Below are 12387 nucleotides of genomic sequence, written 5' to 3' on the forward strand. Positions count from 1 at the left end.
TGCTAACCCCTTGGTTATTAATCATCGCCATGATTTTTCATGTGTTTACTATAGTATGATCCAGGCGTTGACTATACTGGGCACTTTATGAGGTTGTTATTATCCTCCGTTTTTTACAGATGAGGAAAGTGAGGCTCAGAGGGGTTAAGTGACTTCTCCAGTTTTACATAGTTTGAAAGTGGCTGACTGAGAATTTGAATATAGGTCCGACATAATTCAAATATTGTGCTCTTGACCACTTAACTAAATTAACTCTACTTTCTGATTGATTCACATATGTTGAAATCTACTCATTCTCCTCCTAGTGTCATTATGTTTGTTTATTCTCTCCTTTATATTTTTAAGGCCTGCTGGTCTATCCTTTCCAGGATCTACACTTATGCTGGACCCACTAAGCTGTCCTAGAACATCATAGTAAATGTTCACCAGATATTAATTATTTGAGTGAGAATGGTTGTGAGCATTGGGTACTCCCCCAGCCAGTACCCTTCTCTCTTGCAGTAGTATATTTTGTAGATTAAATAAAACTCAAGATAAAAAAAACAAATTAATAAATGATCAATGGAAACAGAAATTTGGAACATAAAAGTATTATTTCAAAATGAACACATTATATGTAAAAGCTCACAACCAGGAATTTCTTCAGTTGGGTTTGCAGCAATGTTATGTCACTAATACTATATTTCTCTCTGTATGGCCAAACCTGTAAAGCCTCAATATCTGATTATGGAGCACATCTAGACTGTTAAAAAGCTTTCTATAATATTAATAAAATCAAATAATAAATAAAAATTAAATTGACTAATCATAGCAATTTCATTTTGAGAATGTTTTGTAGGCTGAAGGCAAATCCTTGAGATATTTTTGCAGGAGCGTCATTGCGAAACAGAATCTGCAGTAGAACTATGTCATCTTCTGGTTCTGAGTGTGCCCTCTCATTGCTGGCAGATGGCAAGTATTTATTTGCTTGCTAGCTCTTTAGTGGAACTGGTCTTCTGTTTCCACTGTCGCCTCGTGTGACACAAACTGCCACCTATCTCCCAAGGTTCTTTCTTTGTAACAGAACCCTAGTTTTTGGCTGGACTCATTTCCCCAGTGGTAGAGGCTGCTGGCTGGTCATGTCATGAGCCCAGGTCTTCTTCTTGGGCACAACCAGATGCCATTTCTCAGCCTCCCTTGCAGTTATATGCAGCTGTGTGTTTGAGTTCTGGCCGTTAGTGAGTGGAAGTGATGTGTCCCTTCTACTCACACTTCTGTAGTCCTGGCCTACAGAAACTCACAATGGTTCTCTATACTCTTTATCTTTCCACAGCTTAATGCAGTTAAGTAACAAGATCTTGGAAGACAAGTGTTGAAGGTGAAAGAGGCACAAGATAGAAGAAACCTGGGTCCTTAGATCCTTGCTTGGAGGAAAACCACCTGCCAATCCAGAACATCATTTTGGACTTCATGTGAGTGAGAAGTAATCCTGTATCATGTTTGAGCCATTAAGCGTATTTTGATTGCTTGTTCTGATAGCTGTAAGTATCTTACTGATGTAGACATCATAAGTGAGAGACCATGTTTCCTCACCTCCCCTGCTAAGTGTAACCATGTAACTAAATTCTGGCCAATGAGATGTAAGCAGAAGTGTTTTGTGTGACTTTGAAACAGGATGCTTCAAGGAAGCTGATTTGGACGGGATGGGAAAACTTCTGTTGTCTTTTGTTCCCTTTCTTTTATAGTTCAGCACTCAGACAAAATGTCAGGAATTGCTCTGGCCATCTTGCACTTCTGTGAATGGAAACCATTTTCTAAGACAATGGGGTAGGGTGATAGAGAAGACTAGGTTTCTGATGGATGTGGAGCTGTTGGGCCCATCTGGGACTCTTAACCCCATCCACAGTGCTTTTATATTGGAGGAATCTCTTGTTTAAGCCTCTATTTTATTTCTCATAGAGACACACGTTCTTTCTATAGGAGCAAAAGTGACCATTTTAAGATTTGAATCAAGTTATGCCACTTCTTGGCTATGAATCCCTTCCTGACTTCCAGTTTACCTTAGAATTGAATTTATATTTCTACCATGGTTTATGAAGCCCTGCTTGATTTGTCTCCTGCCTACCCCAATGACCCCACCACAATTACACTGGCCTGCCTTCTGTTCTGCTGTAGTGACTGATCATTCACCTCCATGAGGCCCTACTGAAGATGTTACCTTTTCAGGGAGGTTCTCTGACCTCCCACCTACAATGGGCTCTCCCAGCTTTCGTCTGTCTCACCACCGTGTTTACTTCCTACATGGCTCTGATCACAGTCTTTAATCATCTGGTTGATGTATTTATTCATTTGTTTGTCACTATCTCCCCAACTAAAATGTAAGCTCTGTGAGGCAAAGATGGTCTCCAGTACAACGCAGTGCCTGCTGCATAGGAAGCACTCATTACATTATGAAAAATACAGCAAACATGTATGTACATTTGAATATACATAAACACTAGATGTATGTGCATGTGTACACATATATAGTTGACCTGTGACTACTGCAGGAGTTGGGGGCGCTGACCCTCCATGCAGTCGAAAATCTGACTTTTAATATAACTTGGTTTTTGGATTTATAGTGTGTGGATTTCTTTTTAAAAATCTGGCCCTGATTATAAAGAGAGAAAAAGTGGAATTAAATTTAGCCATTATTAAGAATCCAACAAATCAAATATAAGTCACAGTGAATACTAAAATTTTGAGGTGAAAAAGAAAATTAGAACTGGAGATAGACATTATAGTGCCGTCCCAGAAAATGGCAGTATCTAGCCCATGAGAGAGTTTCTTTCATATTTTTTTCATTACATGTACTAAACATAGTGATTGCTTTTTATCTTTTTAAAAAAATCTAGGCCAGTCGCGGTGGCTCACGCCTGTAATCCCAGCACTTTGGGAGGCCAAGGTGGGCAGATCACAAGGTCATGAGATCGAGACCATCCTGGCTAACACGGTGAAAACCCATCTCTACTAAAAATACAAAAAATTAGCCAGGCATGGTGTCAGGCACCTGTAGTTCCAGCTACTCAGGAGGTTAAGGCAGCACAATGGCGTGAACCCGGGAGGTGGAACTTGCAGTGAGCCGAGATCACGCCACTGCACTCCAGCCTAGACAATAGAACAAGACTCTGTCTCAAAAAAAGAGAGAGAAAAAAATATCTAAATGATTATTTGCTCTCTGTTCAAAAATCACTCAGCCAAATAGAATTTCCTGCTGAAGAAAATTATGACATAAAAATTTTAAAATTACCCCACCACTTTTTTTTGTTTGTTTTTTATCTCTGTCAGTTTGTTACCTTTATTCCTGAAAGAAGGACTCAAGACTCATGTGATACTCTAAAATAGATATTAATAGGAAATGTTCCTAGACAATGTGGGTTTGCAAGAGAAACAAAGAATTTATTGTTGACTTGATTACTAGCTCAAAGTAATCAGAAATTCCATGAAAGACACTGAAAGTTGACCTCTTTTAAAACTACTTTCAAAAGCGGAGGTTGATTTGTATTTCTTAATCAGCATCTCAGAACAATGTACATTCTTTTTGTATAGTGTCATGGGCATCTGGGACTTTGGCTTGATCAACATCCACTTCCTCCTGTGATACCAAGACCCTAGTTTTCTTTTAAAGAACCACCCCTCCCTGACTCTCAGTCTTTGTTTTCTGGTGGGGTTGACTCTTACCCCTAACCCCAGGGGTGGGGCATGTGGTCCAAGTCTGGCCAATGAGAATTTTAACCATGCTGGTGATTCAAGAATGAGTATATGTTACATGCTGAGCTTATCAGAACCAACATTGTCAGCCACAGGGGTTATGCTAGAAGTATTGGAAAGGATAAATTCTCTTCTGGGGTGGTTAAACCAATAGAAAATTAGCCTGGAGCTTCTGGTGGACATCTTGTCAAAAAAATAGTGATTGCCTGCTTGAGAATGAAATCAAGAGAGAAGAAGGCAAAGCTAAAGCCTGGAGAATATTCCTGAAGACATTTTTCAAGGATCTGGAACCACCCTTGAACTTTTTTTTTTCTTTTTTTTAGAGACAGGGTCTTGTTCTGTTGCCTAAGCTGGAGTGCATTGGTGCAATCATGGCTCACTGCAGCCTCAACTCCTAGTCTCAAATGATTCTCCTTCCTCAGCCTCCCAAGTAGCTGGGACTACAGGCATGTGCCACTGTGCCCAGTGATTTTTTTTTTTTTTTTTTTTTTTGTAGAGATGAGGTCATGTTATGTTGCCCAGGCTGGTCTTGAACTCCTGGCCTCAAGTGATCTTCCCACCTTGGTCTCCCAAAGTAACTGAATTACATGCATGAGCCACTGTGTTTAGCCTGAGCATTTTCAGGTACATAAACAAATATATTGCCCTTATTTGAGTTTCATCACTTGAAACTAAGAATCTTGACTATACACTTAATTGGTTACTAAATGAATTAGGATATAAAGATTTTTTTAAATTAGTTTGCTACAAAATTTTCTGTAATTGGAAGAAAGATGGCCATTCCTCCCCAAAGGAGCTCTTACAACTTGAATTCTTTCATCAGAAAATGCAGTTTCCTTTTGCCTATACACAATCTAAAGATTTTTTAATATACTTCTTTAGTTGCCTAAATGTTCTTTATATGTTTGTCTTGTCCTTGCAGTTCATATTAGATATTATGTTACCAATGAGCAGGGACTATGATGAATGTGTCTTTAGAACACCCAATGAAGTGCCACTTGCCACAAGAAGCTAAGTCACAATCTGATGGCCAGAGGAGGCAATCATTCTTCCTACAGTTTTGTGCATAAACCTTCCTGCCTCTCTGCTGGGGACCACCTATGGGGAAAGGAAAACTTCTCTCTCATGGCTCTCCTTTCCCAGGAAAACTTTAGCTCCTGTTGAGACCAACACCTTCCCTGGAGAATGCAGAGTGAAGGGATTAGGCCCATCACAATTTTCCATTCATGATGTTGGGTCAAGCAAGGCATCACACAGAATGAATAGAAACAGAAACAGCCCCACATGTGAAGTAGGAGCCATGCTGGAATGAACAAGGGCCACGGTATGGGTGAGTTACACGGTACAGAGCACAGGGGCTGACTGCTTTGTGCTCTTCCAGGTGGGATCATTACTTGCCAGCCTTCCAGCTGATGCCAGTGGCAACAGCACGACAGGCTGAACTGGATTCTTTATGACTATGTATTCATTAGGGGGAAAAAGCACTTCCAATGCAAATGATTGAAATGGAAACAAGATGTGCACTCTGCTGCCTAAATGAAAGCTCTACCAGGTAGGCCATTCAAACTCAATTAAGAGTAGCAAAACAGGATCTATCAGGACAGTGGCTGTAACCCCTGTCACAGAGAATGGACAGTGAGCGGTCCAAATGGATTGGGGGGCATGAATGGCACCTGACTTACAGCAGGAGCTCAGCACTTTTACTCTCTTTGCCGCTTCACTGGAACCAGGAGAAAAAGACATTAGGATGAAGGATAATGTGTGATACACACATAAAGATGAAAGCGAGAGGGACACATGCAATGTCACTTATTGGAAGGACCACTTTAGGCTGCTCTGTCCTCTCTCCCCTGAAAACATGTTCCACATTGTTTTAACCATCTGTGGCCCACTCTGGAGCTCAAGGAACCCTGGCCTTTCTGCTTTATTGTGAGCACAGCCATATGAAACTGCAATCTGGCAGCTGAAGGGGAAAGTACTTTTACTGTCTCTGCTGAGAAAGGGTTTGGATGAATCGAATCCCCTGTTATGCGTGAAATTGTACCCTCTAGAAAGCTCTGTTGATGACCCAACCCACGGTACCTGTGAATGTGACCTTATTTGAAAATATGGTCTTATAAATGTAATCAAGCAAAGATGAGATGATACTGAATTAGGGTGGGCCTCCACCAACATGACTGGTGTCCTTATGAGAAGCAAGGAAGAGACATAAGGAGAACATGGTGTGACAATTGAGACAGAGATTGGAGTGATGCATCTACAAGCCAAGAAATGTCAAGGGCCGTGAGCCACACCAGAAGCTAAGAGAAAGGCATGGGACTGACCCTCCCCTAGAGCCATCAGAAAGAGCCTGACCCTGGCGGCACCTTGCTTTTGGACTTCTAGACTCCAGAATTATGAGAATAAATTTGTGTTGCTTTAAGCCACTCAGTTTGTGGTAATTTGTTATGACAGTTCTAAGAAACTAATCCACCCTGCTAAAGAGTAAATGTCTGATGCAAAACTCACTACATGGATGAAAAGGCTGAGATATTCCGAAGAGTCATAATGAACTGTGCCGTCATCTACAAAGGAAGTGCAGCACTGCAACAACTCAAGATAGATTCTGGAGACGTGGCAGGACAGACGTGCCTACCAGACTAGGAGCACTTTCAGGACAGCGTCATGCCTTGTTCTCCTCCACATCCCTCCGTGCCTGAAAATCAGAAATGCTCAATTAAATGTTGAAAATGTCAATAAATTCATAGGAAAACGATCTCAGATAAGTCAATAACGTTATGTTATTTTATTTTATTTTTGAAATGGAGTCTTGCTTTGTCACCCAGGCTGGAGTGTAGTGGCACGATCTCAGCTCATTGCAACCTCTGCCTCCCAGGTTCAAGCGATTCTCCTGCCTCGGCCCCCTGAGTAGCTAGGATTATAGGCATGCACCACCACGTCCAGCTAATTTTTGTATTTTTAGTGGAGACGGAGTTTCACCATGTTGGTCAGGCTGGTCTCGAACTCCTGACCTCGTGATCCACCCACCTCGGCTTCCCAAATTGCTGGGCTTACAGGTGTGAGCCACCGCACCCAGCCATGATTAACCTTATTTTATGATGTCATGTAAGTCCTTACCACCACCTTCCATGAAGACGTAACTGACAAAGACATCTGATTTGATGCTTTCATTGGAGAAACCCACCCTTGGCCATTGAAGAGCACAACTTTGGGTTTCTTTGAGATTTAATCTGGTCCTTGGATTCCCAAATGGCAGACGTGGCCAGTAACAGCTTTTTACAAATCTTCAAATCCCACTGACACTGGGATTCTGCCCCTCAGACGTGGCTGTGGTTTTTTCACTGGCAGGGCAGGATATGTTACTCTCCGCTTAACATCGGCCCACTCACAGTGTTAGTTAGCCTGCTGTTTCATACATGAATCCATCTGAAATGCCTCCGAGTCTCCAGGTGAAGGGTGCTGCCATCAGCAGCAGCCAATAAATGAAATAATACCAAATATAAAATCAGCCACATTGGTCTCCTGGAGGTAAATAGAGCACAGGGGCGTTTCATTTACTGAAAGGCCAGAATTGCGATACCTGTAAATGTTGAATGTGAATGTGTTTTATAAAGTGTAAAGGGCTGTAAAGAAGTCAGTTATTATGTTTATTATTGCTCCTGCTCTGTACACTTGATCAAATGACAAACCCAAAGGCTCACCTCTCTGGGCTCCGGTTTCCTTACTCAAATGAGGGAATTATGTTTAATATCCCAAGCTCCCAACTAAATCTTTTTTTTTTCCTTTGACTCTATGAATCTATCAGCAGGAACTTCCATCCAAATTCCTGAAATGTGGGAATATATTTGATGACGCTGTTTACATATAATATTAATTTATTTTGCATAAATTTTTCAGAATATGTTTTGTATAACATAGAAGATGAAGGGGGAAAAAGTAAAGTAAGATGGGAAAGTAGGCCATAAGGAAGGATAAGGAGAAACGCTTAAGAAAATCCACCTATTATAATAATTAAAATTCAGCTTACCTGGAAAGGGGAGGAGAGCATTTATGATTAACATGAATGTAGTCTGTGCTCATTGCAAAGTAAATTTTCAGAAAAAAAGGGCAAAATCTGATTATTTTAATCGTCAGATTAAATGCAATTAGAAATCCCACCTACCTTTTAAAGTAAACAGCAAACTTAGTATTTTACTACATAAAAGAAACAATTGAAATAATCCTAACTTCAGGTTATCGTTGCATATAACAGAACATTATATTTGAAAATGATCCTCATTGAGTTTTTTGGATTCAACAACTTTTTCTGTGGCTAAAAATGTCCCTTGAGTTTCTGAAATCTGCTAGAATGCTGGGAAGAGCTGTGCAGAAATACCTCCAAAGGGTCAGAAAGTAATTTAGGATTTTTAATTCAATGGAATCAATCTTTCTTGTGTATTTTTACTTACTTTTTTAGACAATAGGCCAATGATTGTAGGGTTTGTTCTAGCCTTGAAACCAACTCTCTGCAGAGCAATTCCTGTTTCCACAAAGGGTGCATCAGGATGCATGGGACCCCCGGATCACAGGCCCCACGTGTGAACGAAGCAACACAGACCATGGATAACAGAGACCTCTCTAGGGTGAGTTCTCTTGAGATGCAGGGCACGATCAACAGGACGAACAAGCCTAAAGATGACAAATGGGTATACTGGCATGGGCTGGACGAAAGGAGGCAATAGGGCTAAAAACACAGAACCAAACCTGTCATTTCTCTCCACAACTTCCTTTTGATCTCAAATATCATGTGTTCTCACTTATAAGTGGGAGCTAAACAATGGGTACACTTGGGCATGAAGATGGAAATCATAGACACTGTGGATTCCAAAGTAGGGGAGAATGGGAGAGGGGCAAGGGTTCAAAAATTACCTGTTAGGCACTATGTTCACTATCTTTTTTTTTTTTTTCTTTTTTGAGACGGAGTCTCGCTTTGTCGCCCAGCCTGGAGTGCAATGGCGCGATCCCGGCTCACTGCAACCTCTGCCCACCAGGTTCAAGTGATTCTCCTGCCTCAGCCTCCTCAGTAGCTGGGACTACAGGCATGCGCCACCACGCCTGGCTAATTTTTGTATTTTTAGTAGAGACAGGGTTTCGCCATGTTGGGCAGGCTGATCTCAAACTCCTGACCTCAAGTGATCCGCCCACCTCGGCCTCCCAAAGTGCTGGGATTACACATGAGAGCCACCGCACCTGGCCTATGTTCACTATCTGGGTAACAAGTACACTAGAAGCCCAATCCCACTGTTATGCAATATACCCATGCCTATGTACGTGTACCCCCTGAAAACATGCATATGTACCCCCGAATCTAAAATAAAATAAAAGAGATGCAGAAAAGAATAATTTAAAAAATATTTTGAGAAATGTATAACAAGAGCCATAAAAGTGTTTATATTCCCTTGTCCTAGTAATTCTGCTTGTGGATATTTATCTTAACAAAATCATCAGAAATGTGTAGAATGATTTATGGATAAGCATGTTCACTGAAGCATTCCTTAGACTATAGGAAAATTTGGGAAAAAAACCCCAATATACAAAAATGAGGAAACACTTAAATTAATCGTAGTCCATTCAGATGATGGAATGCAGTGTAGATATGTAAAAATCATATTTTCAGAGATGGCTGTTGATCAATGAAAATGCCCAATCTATAACATTCCATGAAAAAGACAGATATACAGCCATATATTCCATACAATTATAATTTTAAATATGTATGAATGTGTGTGTATATATAATATATGTGAAAAAATTGGAAAGAAATACACTAAAATGTTAACTCATTATCTCTAAGTGGCAGGATTATGAGATTACAGGTGATTGTTTCTGGTTCTTTGTATTTTTTAGTATTTTTTTTTATTTTTTTGAGATGGATTCTCACTCTGTTGCCCAGGCTGGAGTGCAGTGGCATGATCTCAGCTCACTGCAACCTCTGCCTCCCAGGTTCAAGCGATTCTCCTGCCTCAACCTCCCGAGTAGCTGGGACTACAGGTGCGCACCACCGTGCCCAGATAATTTTTGTATTTTTAGTGGAGATGGGGTTTCATCATGTTGGCCAGGATGGTCTTGATCTCTTGACCTCATGATCCACCCTGCTTGGCCTCCCAAACTGTTGGGATTACAGGCGTGAGCCACTGCGCCTGGCCTATATTTTAGTGTTCTAAGATTTTTCTACAATGACTCTGTATTGCTTTTAATGTCAAAAATCTCAATAATTTTGAAGGTTATGGTATTTATATACTTTTTTAAAAAATGACAAATGTTCTCCCTAAATCAGAAATGTGGACACCGTGTTTTGGCTTTAGTGTAGTGAGGTGGAGTATTATGATTAAATACTGTGTTTTCAAGCATTAATGACTCAAAGAGCAGGTACTTACAGAGCACCTATTATTGCCATCAACCAGTGTTATTGAGCACTTACTCAATAAGTGTTGGCCTCTGACTTTACGCCTAAGAGTCAGGAGACCACAAAAAAGCAACAATGTCAGGTCTGCAAGGTGAAGGCAAGAAGCTCATGTTCTAGGTACTTGTGACTGTCCTGTAATGCTAAAGAATGAACCATTACCAAAGATTTGGCAAACTCGCCCAAGCTTACTCCTAAGGAGTCTAACCTTTGCCCAAGTATCTAGGACTCAGGCCCACCTGCTTAGCCTGGTCTCACTGAAGTGTGGAGGCAAAGCATTTGCAGCTTCATCATATTCCATTTTGTCTCATAAGGAAATTGTGTTAGTCCAAGAGGCTTGGTGTGTTACATGGTTGTACAGCTTAGTGCTTTCTTAGCACTCTGTTTAAGTGCTGACAACTTGATATTTTCATCAATGGTTGCTATATTTCTCCAATGTTAGGTTGACAGGCTAATAATTTCAGAAGTCAATTTCTCCCTCTCTCTCTCTTCTCCCAGTTTACATATTTCTATTTTCCAATTCCTTTATCTGCATTTTGTAAATACCTCAAAATAGTGGAAGGCAAGGCCTCTAGGATCACTTGGCCCAATCTCCATATAATTGGATCCTTAGGGCTTGCTATATCTTTAAAGAAATTGAGGTCACCTTTTGTCACCAAGAATTAAGCACCTGTTGTGTGACTGATGGAGATCTGTACACAGAGCACATTGCCCAGGGCAGGGGTGATTTGGTTACAGGCAGCCTCTCGATGTATGATAAAAGTTGGCATCAGGTTGTAAACATTTTGCTCACTGTAGCAGAAAGCTCTCTGTGAACGGAGAGCTGTCTAAACAGGGTGGTTGGCCACAGAACCTGCCCAGGGATGCACCTCCTTTCCACATTAGCCCATGGCCTTTCCAGCCCTGAAATCTGAGTTGCATGTGAGTCACTTAGACAGGCCATCTGTCAATTATTAAGCGACATCAGTGGGCCCAGCAATTCCATTCTGCGTAGTGCAAAGGTCCTCCACACATTCCAGGTCTATACCATCAAAGTGGCTATTTTTCTCAACCTATCCCTGCCCTTTAAGAAAATGGGGGTCATTTATTTCCAGGGATCACTATTTACACCCCATTGGCAGGTAGTGGAGCCCAGTGGTTAATAAACAACCTTGTTTTAAATCCCATCTCTGTTGTTTGCAAGCTGTGTGTCTTTCAGAAACTTTACTTAAATTTCTTGAGCATCAGTTTCCTCACAAGGGTGTGGTCAAGTGATAATCAAGTATTTGTACTTTAACCCTGTACCTGGCTGATAGCAAGCCCTCAGAAAAGAATTAACTTAGAGTTTTTATACATTCCCTCCAGTACAATGTTCCTAACATACAAGGGGCATATGTGTGTATTATGAGTGGGAAGAAGGAAGGAAGGATGCAATTGATAAGGCTTGCATTCAACATTGCTGTAGTCAAACCCTCTTTCCTTAGGAAGATCTGGATGTGCCAACATTTCTTATATATCATATGTGGAGGTGACTTAGGTTTTTCTTTCAGTACTTCATCATTTGAAAGAGCATTTGGTGATAATGAGCAGGTTCTGAAGTCTGTGAACTAAACTAAAAGTAAAAATAAATGGGACGGTGAAATTTTGTTTGTGCCTTAAGGGAACTCCCTTTTACCCTCCCACTATGTTGATGATGTCATGTTTGTTCTAACATATCATCTAACAATTCCCTCCATTCATTTTTTTTCTCCTTATTTCTTTTCCTTTCAAGTAACAGTATCTTCAACAATCGTTCGGCTGTTCAGGAACTTAAAAATCATGAGACGATTCTTAAAGGATAGGAACTAACATTGATCACACAGTGTGTAATCCCACATCTATATACTGGCAAATGATGGCACAAACACCATAAAATCTCAGCTTGCTTTGTAGCCATTCTGGATTGCTGAGTTCTAGGCAAGTAAGAGCTGGTCCTTCAAAGCACCAAAAGAAAGAAAGGAAGGAAGGAAAGAAGGGAGGTGGGCAGAGAGGGAGGGAAGAAGGAAGGAGAGGGAGGGAGGGAGAGAGAGAGAAAGAAAAAGAAAGAAAGAAAGAAAGAAAGAAAAAAGAAAGAAAGAAAGAAAGAAAGAAGAAAAAGAAAGAGAGAAAGAAAGAAAAAGAAAGAAAGAGAAAAAAGAAAGGGGGAGAGAGAAGGAGGGAGGGAGGGAGAAAGGAAGGAAGGAAGGGAAGGAAAGAAA

General features: G+C 40.8%; 1 long non-coding RNA gene across 1 annotated transcript; it reads left to right on the forward strand.

Annotated features, from left to right (window-relative positions):
• The first annotated feature begins 1014 nt into the window (after nucleotides 1-1014).
• LINC00184 (long intergenic non-protein coding RNA 184) lies at nucleotides 1015-6484 on the forward strand. Its single transcript, NR_033927.1, has 2 exons — nucleotides 1015-1451; nucleotides 4652-6484. It is a non-coding gene; the product is annotated as a long intergenic non-protein coding RNA 184 (long non-coding RNA).
• The last annotated feature ends 5903 nt before the right edge of the window (nucleotides 6485-12387 follow it).

This window comes from Homo sapiens, chromosome 1 (genome assembly GCF_000001405.40).
Source record: "Homo sapiens chromosome 1, GRCh38.p14 Primary Assembly".
Classification (NCBI taxonomy): Eukaryota; Metazoa; Chordata; class Mammalia; order Primates; family Hominidae; genus Homo; species Homo sapiens.